General features: G+C 38.2%; 1 protein-coding gene across 4 annotated transcripts in view, besides 1 other annotated feature; it reads left to right on the top strand.

The window, feature by feature from the left end:
* TSC22D1 (TSC22 domain family member 1) overlaps nt 1-23176 on the top strand; it is a 145202-nt gene that overhangs the window by 56942 nt on the left and 65084 nt on the right. The window lies entirely within an intron of this gene.
* Nucleotides 3214-3715: an enhancer, noted in NCBI's record as "NANOG hESC enhancer chr13:45090824-45091325 (GRCh37/hg19 assembly coordinates)". NCBI's record gives its function as "activates a minimal SCP1, AML or CMV promoter by ChIP-STARR-seq in naive H9 embryonic stem cells {active_cell/tissue: H9 hESC(naive)}" and the evidence as "EXISTENCE:reporter gene assay evidence [ECO:0000049][PMID:30033119]".

Raw genomic sequence — 23176 nt, 5'->3', positions numbered from 1 at the left:
TATTGAGGTTATTAGTAGATCAAGTGGACAGCTTTGTATCTAGTCATATGTGTACCCTCAGCAGCATTTGAAACAGTAGACTACATTCTCTCTTCACACTTTGGGTGCTATTAATCTTTAGTCCTCTGATTTCCTGTCTTTCTGGCCAGTTTTTAGTCTGATTCGCAGACTCATTCTCACTCTACCTGGACTTTATATATGGGAGTTTCTTAGGCAGGGTCCTTGGTTATCATGTGTCAATTCTCTGGGCATTTCTACCAATACCACAGATTGAATACCTTCACACAGATGACTCGTGTTTATAACACTGATCAACTTCATAGATCTACCTATTTGACTTCTCTTTTTGGGTGTCCCAGGAGCACTTCAAACATGCTTTATGAATTTATGATCTTCGCCTTCAAATCTGGTTTTCTTTTGGGAGATCTCATCTTAGTGACTGTCACCCACATGTGTTCAGTTATGTATGCTGGAAACCTGGGTGTCGTATTTCAGTATATCTGTAGTCCTTACACCATAATCCATCATCTAGTCCTGTTGGTTTTTTTACGGGCTGGAGGGCTGAAATATCTCAGCCATATATCCTGTTGTCATTACCTTGTCTCAATCCATGATTTCCTAACTTGGATGCAAGAGTTCTAATTGGTCTCCTTGTATATAACCTTATGCTAATGAAATTCATTCTCCAGAATTTGGCTGGAGTGATGTTATTCCTTTAATTAAAACATTATATTGGCTTCCAATTAATTTTGGGATTCATGGGTAGGGTAGAGACAAAAATTCTTGCTATAATTTTTGAAAACCTGAGAGTCGCCATTTACCTTTCCAGTCTTACCTTTGACCACTTTTTGGCTGTCTCTTTTGCCCATTTACTTACTTCAGGGACGTCTCTTGTGATGTTCTTGAATAGGTGAGATCATTCTGTTTGCTGTCATTGTGCCATGTATACTCCATTTTGTATACTCCTGGTTTTACATTTTTGCGTGCCATTTCTCCCTGTAGCTAAAATCCTGTGAGAGACCAGGATCTTGTTTACTTTTGCTTACCATTTGCCATTGCTTATTAGCATAGCTAATTGGCTTATACCCTTCATACATTGAATTTTAAGATGTCAGCCTTATTTTTCATTTACTATGAAAAAAAGGGAAGGAAAGTAATCAGTGAAAGAAGAAACCTAACATGATAGATGTAAAACATACTGCTTTGAATCAATGAAAGATAAGATCACAATGATATTGTTGAAATCATTTTCTGTAAAAGCTGAACTAACTTAAACTATAACATCCTCTCCCAGCCCCTTGCTTTTCTATAATGGTAAAATAAATGCTATTGAAGAAAAAAAATTTAGACCGGTTCTAGATTCTAACACCTTAAGAAAATAATTGGCACTAAATCCACTGTTTCAGGCCTTTCAAAACTGAAAAATTACATTGTGTTTCTAACATTGAAAATAAAGTTTCAAGATAGTTTTAATTAATTTGGATATAAGTATAGAAGGTTTGACCACTTTCAGAACTCTCAGGTGATTTTGACTTGTGATCATCTCTGGGAAGGGATATTTAGTGATAGCCTGAATTTTAAAAACCTCAACTTGAACACTGGGAGTTGATGGGAGACCATCTGATTAAGGGATGGACTAAGTAAGTGTACCAGTGTCAGTTTGCCTATTAAATACAATCAAAGCGCAATGTCTTTCCTTTTAAGATAAAAAACCAGTAATTTGGATAATATTTTAATTCAGCACCAAGTAGATTGTTTCTCACACCTGTGTTGGAAGTTACTGGTTTAGAGTATGGTTTAAAATTTTTTTCTCTCATAGGCCTTTAAAATTAAAATAATTTGCATGTTAATTAAATTCCAGCCTTAATAGGGTTTTCCATCACCTTAATTCCCACATTTGTTTTTCATTTCCAACATCTTTGAACTTTTATTGAATAAAATAATTGTACAATCTTAGATAAATATTAAACCAAAATTTGATGAAAGTAATACTGCATTCATGATACTTTGCTAGCTAGATACTATAATTAGAACTGAATGAAATAAACAACCTGTTTTTAATTTTTCCCTTTTTTGAGGGATGACACAGTTTGCCTAATTAGAAATACCTTTTGTGACTGTCGTTTGTTTACCTCTATTTTGCAGCAGCATAGCACTTCTGAGATGTTTAACTTCTTTTTTCATCAAAATTATTTTGAACATGCTGACATATCTTTGAGATTTAATTCCTAGTCATTTAAAGAAAATAAGGGGCTAGGGGTGGTGGCTCACTTCTGTAATCCCAACACTTGGAGGCCAACGCTGGAGGATCACTTGAGTCCAGGAGTTTGAGACCAGCCTGGACAACATAGAGACCTGTCTCTACAAAAAAAAAAAAAGTTAGCTGGGCGTGGTGGTGCACGTCTATAGCCCCAGCTACTCTGGAGGCTAAGGTGAGAGGATTGCTTGAGCCTGGGAGGTCCGTGTCTGCAGTGAGCTGTGATCCTGCCAATGCACTCAGCCTCGGCTCAGTGAGACCTTGTTAAAAAAAAAAAAAAAAAAAAAATATATATATATATATATATATATATATACACACACACACACACACATATATATGTGTGTATATATATGTATATATATGTGTATATATATATATACACACACACATATATACGTATATATGTATATATATATAGTATTAAGCTGGAAAATACTTAAACTTTTTTTTTTTTTCTTTTGATAGAAACAGGGTTTCACCATGTTGGCCAGGCTGGTCTTGAACTCCTGACCTCCAGTGATCCACCCACCTCAGTCTCCCAAAGTGCTGGGATTATAGGCGCAAGCCACCGCACCTGGCCCGGAAAATACTTCAAAATGCTCAGGTTTTGATTGATCAATGGATAGTAATCCTGCACATTTTCAGTTTGAAAATTTAACAATTCTGTTGTTATTGATATGTCTTGCCAATTGTAGATAATTTCTTGTGGGAAATTTTCTAATTTATGCTTACTGTTTATTTTTTCTAATCTTTACCCAATTTTTGTGAGGAAGGAGTACATTTGTGTGTGTGTGTGTGTGTGTGTGTGTTTTGTTTTTGTTTTTACGGTAACGATGGTTACTATTGCTCTCTGTTTTAGAAGTAATGGTCATACATAAGAGCACATTGTGTACAAAAATAAATATTAGTTTGTAAAATAGGTTGTAGTACAGGATGAATAGAGAGGTTTGAAAAATAGGTCCGTTTCCATTATTTCCTTTAAAATGCATATACACACATATAATCTAGATCAAATTTTTATATACAGGTATACATGTGTATACACACAAACACACACGTGTATATCTCTGTGTAAACCTTTCATTGATCTCAGACCAGGAAGGGAACATGATGGATCAGGCAGCTGTACTTCCAGGTTGCTTTTTTAGGATTGTTGCCCTGGTGTAGAGCTGAGATCAGCAGGTGGCAGGAAGAAGGCGGGGTGACTAACTGGGCAGGACTTAGGAAGAGACTGCTATCCCTTTCTTCCTCCATCTTATAGGTAATTGATCTGCTTTTGCTGAAATGTTTTCTGCTTTGATAAGCTTCTGTTGTTAGTAGTGTTGCTGTTTCCAGAAATAGGAGGAGAAATGAAGGGAATTACAGAGGGAAAATTTAACTTTTAAAAATCCTGCCTTTGAGGGAAGAAAACTAAGTGCCTCAGCCTCATTTCTTCTGCTTAATGGATTCTTGATGGGGTACTTTAAAAAATGTCTCTTTATACATTTTGCTAATTTTAACAAAGGTAGATCAAGTGAGTATTCACTTGTAATATTAGTTTGCTTTTTTTTCCCCCCATAAAAAGAATATTTCTTTACTGGTATAATGCAGTCACTGGTGTGCTTTGAAAATGGCCTGGGTGTCTTTGATGTGTTGGGGTGTCCTGGGTTTCTTTTCTGTCTGATGGCCACCATGTGGCTAGTTTCCATAAGCCTTTATGCCGAAGTCCCCTTTGGGAGCTTGATTTCAAGTCTTCAGGAACTTTTATTTATTAAGAGATTTTAAAAAGACTATTAAGAGAATTTGTTTTTAAAAAGCAGGTTCTTCAGAATTAGAGGGAGGTAACCTGTGGTAGAGGGGAGCTGGTAAAGGGAGGTGCTTTCTCACCATTCAGCGTCAATTTCTAGTGCCCCCAAAGTCTCAAGTAAACTAATGATGTTCAACAAGAGAACTTTTTTTTTAGTAGCATAGGTGCTAAAGTTCTGCAGGTCAAGTAATGTATTATTCCGGGGATACTGCATACTACTAATAGCTAAAACACTTGAAACCACTTTTTGGGAATTGGATATGTTTTTATTAAAATCAACCCCACTTTCTATTTCAGCTGTTCATTTCAAAAAGTATTAGAAAACATGAAAAGTTTGCCTACTCTTGAAAATAGTATACTAGAAGTGTGGATTTTGTTTATATTAATATCCTTATTTCTCCCTCTGTGAAGTTCTACTGCTTATTTGAAGTGAGGTGGTTTTTCTTTTGAAAATTTGTAATAGGTGTAAAATGGTACATATTGCAAAGTTTTGCTCTTATACCTGTTTTAAATTCACCAAATACTTCTCACCTTCCTAGCCCTAGGCAGCCACTATTAAGTTTTTTATATGTTATTTCAGATATATACATATTCATGCAATTAAGAATTTTTTTCACTTAGGCCAGGCATGGTAGCTCACACCTGCAATCCCAGCACTTTGGGAGGCCAAGGTGGGTGATCACTTGAGGCCAGGAGTTCGAGGCCAGCCTGGCCAACATGGCAAAACCCTGTCTCTATTAAAAATACCAAAATTAGCCGGGTATGGTGGCACATGTCTGTAATTCCAGCTACTTGGGAGTCTGAGGTAGGAGAATCACTTGAACCCAGAAGGTGGAGGCTGCAGAGAACCGAGATTGTGCCACTGCACTCCAGCCTGGGTGAAAGAAAGAACTGTCTCAAAAAAAAAAAAAGATTTTTTTCACTTAAAATTTTACACAAAACTTGTACACTATATATGCTGTTCTGCTCTTTGCTTTTTTTTCACTTAATATTTCTTGGCCATCTTTCCATATAGTAAATAGATGACTACCTTATTCTTTTTAAAAAAAAAATAGTTGTAGAGGATTGTGTCTCATGGATATACCACATTTTACTTAACCAATCTCTAATCAATGCTTATTTTAGATAGTTTATTATCTTTTGCTACTAAATATAATACTGTAGTGAGTAACTTTGTACAGGTGTCGTTCCTGTCTATCTGCATATATATATTCATAAGTTAAATTCCCAGAAGTAGAATTGCTGGGACAAAGGGTATGATTTTATAATTTTGATGACTATTGTCAAATTGCCCTCTATAGGAGTTGCACCAGATTACCCTCCCACTAGCAATGGATGAGAATGCCTCTTTTCCTGCTGCCTTATCATTAGAGTATGCCATTAAACATCTGGATTTTTGCTTATCTATTAGGTTAATACTGTATCTCAGAGTAATTTTAATTTGCATGTTTTTAATAAATGACTTTAAACTTCTTTTATTTATTTATTTTTTTCTTTGAGACAGGATCTTGTTCTGTCACCTAGGCTGGAGTGCATTGGTGCGATCTCGGCTCACTGCAACCTCCGTCTCCTGGGTACAAGCAATTCTCCTGCGTCAGCCTCCTGAGTAGCTGGAATTACAGGTGCATACCACCATGTCCAGCTAATTTTTATATTTTTTGTAGAGACGTGGTTTCACCTTGTTGGCCAGGCGAGTCTTGAACTCCTGACCTCAAGTGTTCTGCCCCCTTTGGCCTCCCAAAGTGTTGGGATTACAGGTGTGAGTCACGGTACCTGGCCTAAACTTCTTTTTATAAATATTTGTGTTTCCGTATACTGTCAGTTTGTATCATCGTGTGTGTGTGTATGTGTGTGTTTTGGATTAGCCCTTTGTCAGTGATATGAGTAGTAAACGTTTTTCCCAGTTTGATATTTATCTTTTGATCTTGTTCATGGTGGTTTTTTTGTGTGTGTGTGATGTGGGGGGCATGCATAGGTTTTTTTTATGTAGTCAAATTCATCAAAGTTTCCTTTTATGACTAGAATTTTGAGTAGGGAAGATCTTGTTTACTTCAAGGCGATAAAGGAATTATTTTACATTTACTTTATTGATTCTTTTTTTTTCCTACATAAATCTTAACTCCTTTGAAATTGATTTTGGTGCACTGAGTGGATTCAATTGTATTTTTTTGCAGATGGCTTCTAGTTGTTCTAATAACACTTAATGAATAATTCATATTTTCTCCAGATCATCAGATCATATTCAGAATGAGTTTTAATTGGAATGTCCTTCAAATTTGCATATAAGGGTGATAGAATAAATGAGTAATAGAAAAGGTAACATTTTCTATTCTCAGTTTCCTTGTTAGTTGAGTTGCCAAAACTTTAGTTGTCTATACCTGCAAGTTGAAAGGAACTTTTAGCAACTTTTCTACTACATGGTTTGAGTTTGGTGTGGGTTATCCTCAAGGTTTATCTATTAAAACTGTTTTTAATTGGTGTCTGAGGTTATTTGTGCTTACTGAAGTAACTTGTCATCTGAATTCTCTTTTCCCGAAGGCCTTAATTAGCTGAGAACAAAGTTAAAAGAAGTTAGAAGAGAAAAGATTCTCTACTGCGGTTCAGCATTGCCCTGGTTGATACTGCTTATGGTGACTGTAGTTGGATATGTCTCCTGTTGTTAGGGTTTCCAGTGGTTTACACAAACTCTGAATCTGAATGAAAAAACATAGCCAGGGTTTATAAGTGGATCTCTGTCCTAGCCAATTCACTTTATTTCTGGAGTGTTTTCTATTGCTAAATATTTCACTCTATTTTGTTAGGCCATTTTCTTCCCAATCTAGTTATCTCCACATTTTCAAGTATGAAGACCTATTTCTGTTATCAAAAAAAGTCACAGGTTATGTGTTTTGTGTATTGTGACTTTTGAAAATACATGACAAAAACCTATCATTTCTAGCAGTGATTTAAATTGGTATAGTATTGATCACCAAAAACATTTATATATGTTTGGAAAAGTATGTTCATGTTTGAGATATAAAGCATGAGGCAATTATTAGTCACATGTTAGATCACATATAAGTGATTTTAATGAACTCCTAGATGCAGTAAAGCAAAATGGTATCAGAGAGACAATCCCTTCTCTCATGCAGAAGCTCACTTAATAGGATAAAGACAACCATTACAAGGACATTTTTTAGTGTTAGGGGAAGTAGAGGAGTACTGTGAGATCAATTGCAGTTAAATCCAACCTGACCTAGAGAATGGGCAAGACCTTCCTGAGGATGTGACATTTAAGCTGATTTCTGAAAAGAATTGGTGAAAGTTAGGACTGGAGGTGAGAAAGTCAACTAGGAAGCAATTTCAGGATTTAGGAAGGAGCTAACCTGATCCTGAATTAGGACACAGGCTTTAGAGATAAGAATGAAGAGGCCAGGCGCAGTGGCTCACGCCTGTAATCCCAGCACTTTGGGAGGCCGAGGCAGGCAGATCACAAGGTCAAGAGATCGAGACCATCCTGGCCAACATGGTGAAACCCTGTCTCTACTAAAAATACAATAATTAGCTGGGCGTGATGGCGCACGCCTGTAGTCCCAGCTACTTGGGAGGCTGAGGCAGGAGAATTGCTTGAACCTGGGAGGCAGAGGTTGCAGTGAGTTGAGATCGCGTCGCTGCACTGGTGACAGAGCAAGACTCCATCTCAAAAAACAAAACAAAAAAGATTGCTTTTACTAAGGAATTCCTAAGTCTTGTTAATTTATAGATGTAGATGTAGAGAAAGGGATGAAGATAATCTGATTTTCCAGGTGGGAAGTGGTTCTGTTTCACAGTAATAGGGAATATAGGAGAAACAGGTTTACAGAGGAAACACTAAGCTTAAGGCATGTTGAGTTTGAAATAAATATCCAAGGCTGGGCGCGGTGGCTCACACCTGTAATCCCAGCACTTTGGGAGGCCGAGGCGGGCGGATCACGAGGTCAGGAGATCGAGACCATCCTGGCTAACACGGTGAAACCCCGTCTCTACTAAAAATACAAAAAATTAGCCGGGCGCGGTGATGGGCGCCTGTAGTCCCAGCTACTCGGGAGGCTGAGGCAGGAGAATGGCGTGAACCTGGGAGGCGGAGCTTGCAGTGAGCCAAGATAGCGCCATTGCACTCCGGCCTGGGCGAAAGAGCAAGACTCCGTCTCAAAAACAAACAAAAAAAGAAAACAAACAAACAAAAAAAGAAATAAATATCCAAGTAGAGATGGCCAGTGGGCGTTCAAATTTGAGTTTGAAGATTGGGATACAATTCTGAAATGAAGATGTTGATGGTGGGAGCTGTCATCTTAAGTGATAATTAAAGCTGTGAGAATAAATGCGATTGCCCTGAAAATGTGTGTAGAATGAGAATGAGAAAAGCAGAAGGTTGAAGGTACAACTTTTGGGAGCATTGGCATTTAAAGGGGATGGAAGATCCTAATTCTGCCCTTTGCTTGGGTAGCTCCTGTTTATCTAAATTGCTCTCCAAGCTCTTCACTTAACCAAATATAATCAGGCCCTCCTTCAGTGTCTGAATTAAAACTTACCTTCATGAATCCATTTCTACTACTTCCTCTAAAGATTGTTTTAAAAAGCATTCATTGGTGGCAGCATTTAAAAAAAATCATAAATTCTACTTCAGAGATTCCCAGGTTTTTTGGCTTGGTTGTCTGATTCCTGATTGTTTAACAACAACAAAAAAGTGTGTGTGTGTGTGTGTGTGTGTGTGTGTGTATTTCTTTTTATTCAGAAAGCTGTCATTTAGATGGATAGGTGTTTTTGGATTGTCATATTGAACAATTACTATATGTCAATTAGTTATATGCCAGATGTTAGCGATAAATAAAACTTGGCTCCTGATCTTAGAGTACCAACAACTTAATTGAGATGATAGACAGCTGGGTGGATGTTTTATGACGTTCATAGCTTTCTTTTCCCAAATATAAGTTAGAAGTAAACTTCTTCCTTTCCCACTATTACTGTGACATGAGCTCAGCTATAGAAAAGCAGAAGAATTACAGGCAAAGGTTTTTGTTTATGTTGTTTGAAAATTTTTTTTGGTTTTTTTTTGAAACAGGTTCTCACTCTGTTGCCCAGTCTGAAGTGTAGTGGTGTGATCATGGTCACTGCAGCTGCAACCTCCCGGGCTCAAGCAATCCTCCAGCCTCTCAGCCTCCTGAGTAGCTGGGATTACAGGTGCGCACCACCATGCCCGGCTAATATTTTGTATTTTTTTGTAGAGATAGGGTTTTGCCGTGTTGCCCAGGATGGTCTCCCTGGGCTTAAGTGATCCTCCCACCTCTGCCTCCCAGAACGCTGGGATTGCAGGTGTAAACCACCACATTGGCCTGAAAATGTTTGAAATTATACTTGGTATATACAATTTTTCATAATTTTTTCACAAATTACCACGAGTTCTTCAGAAACATTGTGAGTTTCTTATAAAAAACATATGGCTGGGCTGGACATGATGGCTCGTGCCTGTAATTCCAGCACTTGGGAGGCTGAATTGGGCAGATCACCTGAGGTCAGGAGTTTGAGACCAGCCTGGTCAACATGGGGAAACCCTGTCTGTACCAAAAAATATACAAAAATTAGCTGGGTGTGGTGGTGCATTCCTGTAGTTCCAGCTACTCAGGAGGCTGAGGCAGGAGAATCCCTTGAACCTGGGAGGTGGAGGTTGTAGTGAGCCGAGATCATGCCACTTCACTCCAGCCTGGGCAACAGAGAGAACTTGTCTCCAAACAAAACAAAACAAAACAAAACATATGGCTGTACCAGAGCTTTATTCTTATTGCCTGATGTTCATTTCATTTTCTACTATATTTATAAATAGTGCTGTGAAGAACATTCATATTTGTGCATTAATCTTTTTAGACACTTAGGATTATTTCGTTAGAGTTAATTCACAGAAGTGCAATTGCAGGGCCGAAGAGTATGAACATTTTTTGTTTTTTTTTTGAGACGGAGTTTCACTCTTGTTGCTCCTGCTGGAGTGCACTGGCGCAATCTTGGTTCACTGCAACCCCCGCCTCGCAGGTTCAAGTGATTCTCCTGCCTCAGCCTCCTGAGTAGCTGGGATTATAGGCATGCGCCACCACGCCCGGCTAATTTTGTATTTTTTTTTTTTTTTTAGTAGACAGGGTTTCTCCATGTTGGTCAGGCTGGTCTCGATCTCCCGACCTCAGGTGATCCACCCGCCTCAGCCTCCCAGAGTGCTAGGATTACAGGTGTGAGCCACCGTGCCTAGCGGAGTATAAACATTTTTAAGACTCCTAATATATGCTGACAAGTTCCTTTTCCAAAGGGCCTTGACTATAGCTTCACTAGCAAAGTACATGAGAACTCATTTTCCTTGCCCAGGTTATTTTTTTTTTTTAGCTTTTTTTTTTTTTTTTTTTTTGCTTATTTTCTAGTTTGACAGGTGAAAATAATATCTTGTTTTAATAATGTAAGTTTATTAGTGAAGCTAAACATGTTAAAAATATATTTCTTTCAACTGTCTCTTTTTTCTGTTAGTGAACCATTACATATTCTTACTGCATCTTCAATTTAATAGATTTAGAAGGTATCTTTCTTAGCTTTTATGTTTTTTCATGGTGAAAAATTGTCTTACAGATCTGTTGAAACTTTCCTATTCCTTGAAAAAAAACCTGGTAAAATACACATAATATAAAATTCACCATCTTAACCATTTTTAAGTGTATAAAATAATGGATGGAGTCTCGCTCTGTCGCCCAGGCTGGAGTGCAGTGGCACGATCTTGGCTCACTGCAACCTCCGCCTCCTGGGTTCAAGCGATTCTCCTGCCTCAGCCTCCTGAGTAGCTGGGACTACAGGCGCCCGCCACCACGTCCGGCTCATTTTTTGTATTTTTAATAGAGACGGGGTTTCACCATGTTGACCAGACTGGTCTCAAACTCCTGACCTCAAGTGATCTGCCTGCCTTGGCCTCCCAAAGTGCTGGGATTACAGGCGTGAGCCACCACGCCCTGCCTTATACACTTCTTAAATGTACAGTTCAGTGGCATTAAGTATATTCACATTGTTGTGCAACCATCACCAGCGTCCTACCCTCTTCATCATTTTGATTACTCCTCCAGCGTAATAATCTTGGCTTCAGAATTCACTGGTATTGACTGTAGCATTGTTAGTGTTAGTGCACCATTTTGGGGGGGGTACTGTTTTGTTTCTAATAATTTTATTGGCCTGTCTGAGTGTGGAAGCGCACTGGGTAAAGTTGAGATTTTCACTTTATATTGGGTCTTGGGTTGTTTGATAATAATTCAGAGTTCTTCATTCAATGAGTATGGCTTATTAACATTAATTTTAATTTTCCCTAAACTTGTTATTTTGTCCTGTCAAGATTGTTGCTTATCTGCCACTTCATGCTTATCACATGGGGCCTCATGTGCTTTTTATATAGTTTGTTTTTGCTTGGACATTTCCTTCCTCAGTTCTTACCCATGAGCACGGGGGCTGTGTCTGACTGTGTGTATTGGCTGAGGACACAGGAGGTACAAAGGCTCTGCTGTGGAAAGGAGCCTTGATTTGCTCGAGGAACAGCAGGGAGACTTGGGTGGCTGGAGCATGGGGAGCAAGGGGACAGTGGTGTGAGATGAAGCTGCAGAGGTAAGCAGGGGCCAGATGCTGTAGGGCCCTGTAAGAGTTAGGTTCCTATTATACTGTGAATAGAGCTTTGTTGAAAGATTTTTAACTGGAACTGGGTGGTGGGCAACATAGTCTAATGTGCCTTTAAAAAAATCATCCTGGCTGTTGGATGGAGAAACGGATTATAGAGGAATAAGAGTGGAAGCTGGGAGGTGTGTTGGGACATGATTTATGTTATCCAGGTGGCAGTGTTAAACTGATTCGTTTCCTTTTTTTAAAAAAACAATTCATATTGTGACCATCTGCAGCACAACTGAAGATAACTGGCCAAGTTTACTCCATGGAAAAGTTAAGCTTATAGAACGTATGAACATCGGAACCATGTGTTCATTAGTATCATACTTTAACCAAGCTCACCAACCCCTGGCTAAATATAGTTTCTATGTATGTGAATCTCAAACATTTACTGTCAGCTGTCTTTGAACATCCCTGTGAAGTTAACTGAACTTTAATTATAAATGATTGAGTGAATTCAGAAGATACTAATATTGCTATTTTACATAGGAAGAATGGGAAGTCTGGTCATTTATAGTACTGAAATAAAAAGCAAAACACTTGTCAGTTTCTCCTAGCTGCAAGCACCATTTTATTAACAACATGTTTTAAGTTTAATTCCCTCCAAATCTATTATAACTTCAGTGTATGGATGAGACTTGAGAGTTCTGGGATATATTATTCTTGGGACACCAGTTAAATTATTCCCACACTTAACTGCTGTCGCAAGTTAGAATTTGTATAATTCCTCTAGGAAGCTGCCTGTGATTCCCCAGGGCTCAGGAAGGATCCCTCTTTGTGCTGTCGTAGTGCCTTATATCTTCCCCTGTGGTAGGCATTTATCATGCTGAATTATATGGCACTCTGAGGACAGAGCCAAAGATTCGGGAGAATGAATGCAAACATGGGGAGTTGGGGAAGCAAAACTGAAGGGATTGAGGCAAGAGTGAAAATTCTTTGAAGTCTTGGGAATCTTCTACTTCATTTCTTAATGCGGTTTTGTTTTCATATGAAATACTTTACCTAATGAATAAAATTGACATTACAGCAAGCTGTAAATTTTGTTTATATTGCAGCTTCATCTATTTTCAGTATCTTCTTCAGTCTGAGGGGTTGCAATTCTATAGTATTTTGTGTACTTTAAATCCATCTCCTGTGTTAGCTATAGGGGGCTAGCATCAATACATACATATTAGTCTTTGCACATTAAAAAAAAAAAGTAAAGTAAGATATTTGCTTTGCAAAACTTTGAAAACATCTCCTTAGTTTGAAAACATCTTCCTTAGTCCTTCAGTATAATGTATTACTCTGACGCCTTCTCAGACCTCCCTAATCTTGGCCTTTCGCTCCTTTTTGAGCCTTCCTCATTTTGAACCTTGCGCTACTGTAGCAACGTTATTCTTACCTCTGCTGCTTTTATCTCCTTTCTTGGCTGTTAACCCTTCCTCCCATAAGGTACCTGTAGGTATAAAAGGTTATCTCCTTAGTTCTGTTCCTTTCTGTCTACTTACTCCTGAAGCATTTGCTGTAGTTCTTAAAGTCTAAACTCTGCAATTGACTCCAAATCTTTATCTTCAACCTGGGCCTCTTTCCCATTGCCCTGTGCTGAGATAGCTGCCTTATATTTATATGTGCTCCCTCTCCTCAGTTTATAGCTTCTATTGATGATTGTCCCAATTTTCCAGTACTCCAGGCTAAAAGCCTAGGACCTTTGACTCCATTTTCTCATGCCTCTGACATGCTTGTTCCTGAGTCCCCAGATACACAGCAGGCACTGTGTACACATTCATCCCATTGTGAAATCTCAGATTCTGTAGTGTCTTGCCTTTTTGTTCTTCTCCTCTCTATCCCCATTATCACCACTGTAGTCCAGGCTGTATGACCTCTTTAAATTATCTGTGGAGACACCTTACTGGTCACCCAGTGTCCAAGCCCACTTCCATCTTTTCCATACTCTCTCGATACCCAGCTCAGAAATCTTTAGTGGTAGAACACTTTTCCCTGTTCCCTTCTAGCTATCTTCTTACATATACTTTTTATTTATTTTTTCCCATCCACTTTTAAGTTCTGGGATACATGTGCAGGATGTGTAGGTTTGTTACATAGGTAAACATGTGCCATGGTGATTTGCTGCACAGATCAACCATAGGTATTAGGTCCAGCATCCATTAGCTATTCTTCCTGATGCTGTCCCTCCCCTGCCCCCTCAACAGGTCCCAGTGTGTGTTATAACCCCTGAAGTGTTCATATGACATCATCGTTCAGCTCCCACTTATAAGCGAGAACATGCGGCATTTGGTTTTCTGTTCCTGCATTAGTTTGGTGAGGATAATGGCTTCCAGCTCTATCCATGACCCTGCAAAGGTAGACTGCTTTCACACAATGTCTTGCTTTTTCTTAGGCATCTCTCTTTCCCAGAATTCCTACTCAACTGTTCCCCTGAAACTCACCTGCCCTTCTGGGACCATATTTAAATTTCTACTTGATGGAATGTAATCTAATTTTGGAAACTCCATACATTTTTTCTGTAGCTTTAAGAAACTGCCATCATTATTACTTCGTTATACCTTCATCAGTGCTTGAGAGTAAGTGGGGCAGAGTGGTTAGAAGCATGGACTCTGGAGCCACACTGCCTGCATTCGCATCCCAGTTCACCTCTTATTATTCCCCACCTTGCTCTGGTTACTTAACCTCTCTGAGTCTCATTTTCCTACCTATTTCACAGAGCTGTTAGGAGGAATAAAATGAGTTAATGTATGTTTAAAATACTGAAAACACTGCCCAGTACTAGAGAGATTTCTGCTGTTATCATTACATGTTAAAAAAGATTTCTTCTGTTCCATAAGCCCCTTTAGGTTAAGAAATGTCTTATTCTTCTTTGGATGCCCTCACAGAATGTAGCATGGTGCCTTATACATAGTAAGCATTCAATAAATAAGTACTTAATGAAATGGAAATTTATTGAAAAGTCTAGTAGTTCAATAACAATGATTTTTGGTTTTGATCCTAAAGTGAAATCACAGAGTTTTTTCTGGGATAATTTAATAGCAGAATATGTTGTTTCCTTGTTTAATTGCACAATTTGGATTTTAAAAAACTGTATAGTTTAAATATATATAGTATGTATTTTATTTTTTGAGACGGAGTCTCATTCTGCCCCAGGCTGGAGTGCAGTGGTGCAGTGTTGGCTTACTGCAGCCTCAACCTCCAGGGATCAAGCAATCCTCCCACCTCAACCTCCCAAGTAGCAGGGATCATAGACACGCACCACCACGCCTGGCTAATTTTTTGTATTTTTGTAGATACAGGGTCTTGCCATATTGCTAAGTCTGGTCTCGAACTCCTGAGCTCAAGTGATCTGCCTGCCTCAGCCTCCCAAGGTTACAGGCAGGAGCTGCTGCACCCACCCTTATTTTAATTTTTTTTGGAGATGAGGTCTTGCTTTGTTGCTCAGGCTGACTCAAGCGCCTGGCTTCAAGTGATCCTCCTGCCTTGGCCTCCCAAAGTTCTGGGATTGCAGGCATGAGCCACTGTGCTTGACCCAAAAATATATATTTTGACCAAATCATACAAGGATGATGAAATGGCAAACCTGTGAGTACTAAAATATAAGACACAGGCTTTGACATTAAAGGAAAAGAGCACTACGATTCACATTAGGCAAAAATTTGCCTGCAATGGAGATAACCTTCTAAATGAAAGCATCCCAGAGTAGAAAGATCCCAGAGTAGATCCAGTCATGATGTATAATTTTCTTTCAAGAGCACTAGTTTTAAAAGCACCATTCTGGGATTTTTAGCTTATGTATGCATTTGGCCTTTAACATATATTTGATAGAGCTTTTTAGTACCTCTTAGAATTAAATAAGAGATGTCCAGGATTAAAATTTGCTGTTGATGTTGATATGTGAAACTTTAATGCATTGTAGATTGTGGTAATCCGATGTTTCAACTTTAAGTATTTGACATCATTTGGGGTGTTAGTTTTATGATTTTCAAGAAATGAAAAACATTATCATTGGGGCAGACATTTCATTCAAATTACTTCTATCAGTTTGCTTGAAAATTTTTTTTTTTTTTTTTTTTTTGAGACAGTCTCCCTCTGTCACCCAGGCTGGAGTGCAGTGGTACGATCACTGCTCACTGCAACCTCCACCTCCCAGGCTCAGGTGATCCTCCCACCTCAGCCTCTCAAATAGCTGGGAACACAGGCGCAAGCCACCACGTCCACCTAATTTTTCTATTTCTTGTAGAGACAGGGTTTCATCATGTTTCCCAGGCTGTTCTTGAACTCCTGTGATTCTCTTGCCTTGGCCTCTCAAAGTGCTGGGATTACAGGCATGAGCTACTGGGCCCACCCAGTGACTTTTAAGAGAGTCACTTGAGACTTTTAAGAGAGACTTAAGAATGCTCTAAAACTAGACTACAGGTGAAATGTAGAGTGATATTTGGTTTCCGGGGAGGGGCGGGTGGGGAAGGAAGAAATATTCATTAAATACAGGCTTGCTTTTTCTGGCTTCAAGTCAAGTCAAGTAGTTTTTTTTTTTTTTTTCATTTGTACATTTTACAGGGGCTTTGATGGGTCTGACAAAGAAGCACTTGCAATGTTTTGGGGTTTCTGTTATGAAATTAACACATAGCTCAAATTCCCATTAAGTAATCATGACTTAAAATAGAGTCCAGCTATATAGTCTTGCATATTTCAGAGTTAAGAATGTAATCTTTATCTTTTATTGTTAATATTCTCTAAGGTTTATTTACTGTATTATTTTGTCATGAGTTTATTTAAAATATTTTTTAATATTAAAGTATTTTAAGTATTTCTAGTTGTAATAAAAATGTAGATATATTCAAGAAATTATAAAATTAGGTTTTGTAATTGATCGGTATTCAAGTAAAAGGAGGAAAGCTATCAAGTAGTCATGATGAAATATTCATCAAATGTAAAATGACCTACTCATCAACTTGCCAGGTCTAACCTCTGTTTCTGTTTCATTTGTCTTTACAACCTTTTAAGAAGTTTATTTTGTAAACTTCTTTTTTCTCTGCTTTAGAGTTGGAAATACTGAAAGACTTTTCTATTCTAGATTGTATCTTTTCCCCCCAGCCCCAACCCAAATTGAAGAAAACTATTGGGACAACTGGATGATTTACAAATCTATTAGCAATGGCAACAATATGAAAATTTGAAGGTATTTATGTATGGCATCCTGTAGTTTGGGTGGAAATCATTTTTTTTTTCCTTTCACTTCTGCCATGTCAACTTTAGTCTCAATGTGTAGATTCCAAAATAGAATCCCAACAGATTTCTGGAGACTTTCGTCTTTAACTATGTTGTCTCTCTCTTCTCTGTTTTTTTTCTGTGTACTTTAGGATATCTGTGTGGGAACCTAAGAAACTATCAGAGGGAACTAGGAAGTAAAATTGCTGAAATAGCAGCCTTTATATTAGTATTATATGATAACTTGAAAATTATTGGTGATATGTTTATGTTATGTAAATCTTGTTTGTATTTTTATCTTCAAATTTCAGAATGTTTAATATACACATATTAGCATGTCTCTAACAACTGATGACTATAGTTTGGCTCGAGAGGCTTATATCATGTAAGCTAGTCACACCTATTTGAATTCACTTTTCTTTGTTTCTTGATTTCTTATGGCTATTATTGCAACAATCAAACAAATTTTGAATACCTTTTGTGAGCTAGCACTGTGGAAATATGAGGGAAGTTTATTGTGGTTCTTACTTTAAATAGTTTGCAGTTTTATTGTGTATACAAATGTATGCATGTGAAATATACAGATTTTAAAAAAGCAGATCATTAAAGATTAGGTCATAAGGTGTAGTCTGTACATGGAGGAAGAGCTAAGTTGATTCAGAATAACATGGTTAGATTTTGAAGCTAGCCTGGATTTGAATCTTGGATCCACCACTGACTAGCTATGTAAGCTTAGTCAAGCAACTCAACCCCTGCCACTGTAGGGGCACAGTTTCCTCATCTGTCAACAGTTTCCTCATCTGTCAAATGGTGACGATAATATAACCTACCCACTGTATAGTTGTGACTTGTGGCCTTTCTTTACTGGTATTTCTTGAGAAAATTGAGCCCTAATGAGCTAAGCATTTGTTGTATGAATGAATACAACAGTTTTGTGGTTCTGGAATAGCATTGGTCATCAACCATCCTTGGGATATTTGAGAAAACAGGCACTCAGATCATTTTCTGTGTGTGGTGGTTCCAATGAAGGAATCTTAGTTAAGGATTAAATGAGTTAACATATAATAAATAACAGAAAACAAGGCCTGGAAGTTTTAAAACTAGTATTGTTGGACTCTGAAAAATGAAGACAATTTAATTAATCAGAGGTGAGAGTTTTCAGCCTGAGAGAAATCAAAGGTTTATATGAAAATGTTTTTCATCTTAAGCAAGTATCCAATTACTTTGTGTCTCTGGAACCAAATGGGACTGGGAAAATCAACAACGTACTCACCAATCAGGAAGGCATCCAACATTTGGAAGGAGGCTCACACATAGAAAAAAGATTCTTAATAAGCATATTACCTGTATCAGAATCATCAAAATTTACAAATATATTGAAACGATAGGAGAGAGAGTGCACATAAGAGTAAGCCTTAAAAACTTCTAATGAGAAAGAGATGGTGAATGGAAATGAACCATGTAGGATAAGATGTGTAAACTGATACACCTTTTGTTGCTATATATAAAGACAAATTATTTCACTTGGTCTTCAGTGCCATGTGAGTACAATTTTAGGTAGGTTAAGTGTGAAGAACTGGCTGTTAAGTATAAAGATCATTTGGCGACTTTGGGAAAGAGCCATTTTAATGGACGATCAGCCCACAGCACATGTGTTAGCGCTTATGTTTTCTCTCTCACACACATACATTAGTTTCAATATGATATTAGTAAATTTATGAGGCTTTGATACAGGTAATATGCTTCTTAAGTTTAGCTTTTCATGTGTTTATTACAGTAGACTCTTAGCTCATTATCCTTCTTTTAGGGTTTCTCTTCCTGGCAGTTTATTCTGCATGTCACTGCCGTGATCATTTTCTTTCATCTGTTCCACTTGATTCCTACTAATACGCTACCCCCTCCACCCGGCCTAGCCTCTGGGACCAAGTGTGCCCTTAGGAAGGATTTAGAGTTCCATTTCAATGCCAGGGGATTCAGCAGTAAGGGTAGTTGTTGCTAGTTTGATGCTTTATTCAGTATTTATAATTAGTATACTACCTTATTCCAGTGATTTGTTCCCCACCTTGCACTCCAATTCAGGTACCTGGGCTACTTACATTTCTCTTTGAAGAGTCCTTGGTTTGATAACCCTAAGCCTTTGGAGAGGGGTCTCTCTGATGTGTGACATTTGTGATTTCCTATCGTTGGGATATCTGTTAATGCATGCTGAACTTCCCTCAAACCAGCCACTTGCCTGATTATTAACTGTTGCCTTTCAGGGTTTTATCTGTTTTCTATTATACCTTCTAAATTGTCCCTCACTGCTTGCTATTGGTTCACCACCTCGCAGTTTCTAGTCCCAAATCACTATTCTTTTCGGTCCATGGCAGGAACCTCTGGTACTACCTGGAAAATGACAACAGCAGAGAATGTAGTGTTCTTTATAAAATTCCTCTGGCACATGAAGGAGCCAGCAGAATCAATGCCATTAAATATACCAGTTGGACCACACATAGTTGCTCATGCCTGTAATCCCAGCACTTTGGGAGGCGAAGGCAGGAGGATCGCTGGAGGCCAGGAGTTTGAAACTAGCCTGGGCAATAAAGTGAGACACTCATCTTCACAAAAAATAAAAAAATTAGCCAGGCATGGTGGTGTGCATCTGTAGTCCCAGCTATTCAGGAGGCTGAGGCAGGAGGATTGCTTGAACCCAGGAATTTGAGGCTGCAGTGAGCTATGATTGCGCCACTGCACTCCAGCCTGGGTGGCAGAGTGAGACCCTGTCTCTAAACAAAAACGAAGCATGTCCATAGAAAGAAACTGAAAAATGTTAGCATTAAGAACCCAGATGGAGACCTTTCTTTTGGTCAAGATTATAATTTAGAAATTTTGAGATGGGGTGTGGTGAGGAAAGTGAGGAAGCTTAACTGCTTGGTTCTTTCATCTCTGAAATTTAGGCAGTGACATTATTTATTTAGAGTGAGATAAATTGTGATGGCTCAAAGAGAATGAAAAATCCCTATAATGGTTTATATGGGGGAATAGATATATAGTCAACTAAGAATGAACACAAGGATTGTTGAACAGCTGTGAAATAATTTTATGTCTGGCTCCTGTAACATTTGGAGGCCCAGAAACAGACTGGCTAATAATTAGCCAAGTGTGTATATGAGGTTTTTTTAAAGGATTTCTTCCAGAAGGGATTAAAGGCAGTTTACAAAAATATATCCAGCATGACAAAATTAAATATATATAATGGCAAAGGAGAAAAAAAGTTTAATAAGATGGAGCTCAGAATGAGGATAATAACCAGATTGCATATGAGGAAGTTTAAAAATGGGCCGTAAGTTAGCCGTGAGCTTTTTTCTTTTTCTTTTCTTTTTTTTTTTTTTTTCTTTTTTGAGACGGGCTTTCGCTCTTGTCACCCAGGCTGGAGTGCAGTGGGCGCCATCTCAGCTCACTGCAACCTCCGCCTCCTGGGTTCAAGTGATTCTCCTGCCTCAGCCTCCCAAGTAGCTGGGATTACAAGCACCTGCCACCACGCCTGGCTAATTTTTGTATTTTTAGTAGAGATGGGGTTTCACCATGTAGGCCAGGCTGGTCTTCAACTCCTGACTTCAGGTGACCCGCCTGCCTCAGCCTCCCAAAGTGCTGTGATTACACATGTGAGCCACTGCACCCGGCTAGCTGTGAGCTTTTTAGTAGCCAATTGCAAAGATGGAAATAATAATAAAGTGATCCCAAACCTGTAAAATATAAAACAAATGAATTACTTAGGCAAAGCACAAGAATTGGTGGCATTGAGAAAATGTTTGCCCGAGGTCTTTTCTGGGAATTTATCAAATATTAACTTGGGGGAAATGCTTTGGGTCCAGCAGAAATAGCCCTAGGAAGAATCAGTCTTGATTCTAAGAAAGTTTATAGTTGTGCTTCATGCCTTCCAGGGTTTGAAATCTATAGATGTTGTAAAGTGGGCAGAATTAGATTGGATTTGAACAACTAGAGTAAAACTAACCTCATTAACAAAACACTTTAATGTGTCACACAAATGTAATTTTATAGGAAATATTTATATATTTTAGATATTTTAAAATATTAATTTATCTCTAGTCATCAAGGAAATCCTGAGATATATTCTGGCTTTTCTTGGGCTCACCTGGGTACATTCAGATTGTCAAAACATTCTCAGATATCAAGTGTGTCAGCACAAACAAAAGGAAAGAGTAGAGAATACTTTCTTTGAAAAATATTCCAAAAGAATCTAGTTTCCAGCATATTATCTAATGCCAACCAAATGATTTGGCAAGCCTGAGAACTTGGCAATATGCCTTAGGGGATTGGTAGATAGTGGTACAGGAGTGAGTATAACTATGTCAAACTCTAAAGACTGAAATTGAATTGTATTTCCAGTGAGGGAGAGAACAGTTAGTTAAATTTTTGTATTTAAGGTTTTTAAAAATTTTCTAAACTAATTAAAGGATTTTGCCTTGACTGCAGTCTTATTTAATGAAACTTTGCATTTTTTTTTACATTTCCTTAGATTGACTTAGACTAGTTTTCAGTTTTTTTAATAAGAAGGATTAAAAAGTATTCTTTCGTGTATCAAATGTGTTAATCATGTCAAAAGCTCTTGTTTTACTTAGTTTGAGGATGGAGTACTAAACAGAAACATTACACAAACAAGTTGCCAGTTATTCTCAGATACTGGCTAGTCATGAAGGATGAGGGCAACGGTGAGTGGGGAATGACGAATAGTGATCCTCACTACTGAGGATCAGGTAGTGAAGGATGAGTGGATCCCTGAATTATTTTATGCTTGACTGAATGACTGAATGGATGAACATTTGCTGAGCTAGGTTCTTGAGACAGAAGTATGATAAAGTCATGGCCCCTGCTCTGAGAGTCTACTGGGGGATTATCTAGTTGATTAGAAAATAAGCCAGTTATACTACAGTGTGGTATAACTGTATACCAACCATTATCCAAGCATGGCATAAATGGTTGGTATGCTGTGAAATGGTTGGTATGCTGTGAAAATAGAGAATTGGAAACTGAATGAGACGTTTAGTTGAATTTTTAGGGAAGTTGCTCACTTGGGAAAGAGTATCCCAGGCAGAAGTAGAGAACTTAATTAAACAGCATGGTTTTTGTTGTTTTTGTTTTTGGTTTTGTTTGTTTGTTTGTTTGTTTTTGAGGCAGAATCTCACTTTGTTGCCCAGGCTGAAGGGCAGTGGCACCATCACAGCTCATTGTAGCCTCAACCTCCCAGTCTCAGGTGATCTTCCCACCTCAGCCTCCAGAGTAGCTGAGACCACAGGTGCATGCCACCTTGCCCAGCTAATTTTGTATTTTTTTGTAGAGACATTTTTGTGGAGACATTTTTTTTTTTGGTTTTTTTTTTGGTTTTATCATGTTGCCCAGGCTGAGCATAGATCTTGGAAGTAGGAAGACTACACCCTCTGTATAGTGGAGGAAGGGGAGGAGTGACAGGAAGTGAGCCCAGAGGGATAGGAAGGGGCTAGAATAGGAATGGCCTTTTGTGCTAGGATAAGGAGCTTCATATTATCCTGAAAGCTATCAGGGAACAAGGAAAGATTTTGAGTAGGAAACTTATATGATTAGATTTGCATTTTTAGAAAGGTGAATCTGGCAGCAACTTCAGAAGGGATTAAATGTGGGAACAGTGCTGTTGACAACTAGACAATCTATGAAACTGTTGTAATTAGTAGGTGAGAAGTGATGGTTCTGAATGAAGGCAGGGACAGTTGCAAAGGAAAAAGGGGGAAAATCACCTTCTAAAGTGGAAGTAGAATCTGCCTTAGCTCAGTGACAGGTGGGGTGTAAGTGATGATGGAAAAAAGAAATTGAAGATAATTTGTGGCTTTCTGATTAAGGCCACAGGTGTTTTGTTGTTGTTGTTGTTCTTGTTTCCTTTTTAAATTGAGGTGACATTTAATTTATAAACAACATAAGATTAACCATTTGAACTATATAATTCAATAGTATTTGGTACATCCACAGTGTTGTGTAACTGTCACCTTTATCAAGTCTCAAAACATTTTCATCACCCCAAAAGAAAGTGGCAATTCCCAGTTTGCCTCTGCCCCAGCCCTTGGCACCCACCAATATGCTTTCTGTTTCTATGAATTTACCTATTCTGAATATTTCATATGAATGAAATCATATACTATGTGACCTTGTATGTGGCCTCTTTCACTTAGCACGATTTTTAAGATCATCCATATTATAATACAAATCAGTAC

The sequence above is a fragment of the Homo sapiens genome, chromosome 13 (assembly GCF_000001405.40).
Source record: "Homo sapiens chromosome 13, GRCh38.p14 Primary Assembly".
In the NCBI taxonomy this organism is placed as follows: Eukaryota; Metazoa; Chordata; class Mammalia; order Primates; family Hominidae; genus Homo; species Homo sapiens.
The sequence above is the reverse complement of the archived record's forward strand: the minus strand, read 5'-3'. Positions and strand labels throughout refer to the sequence as shown.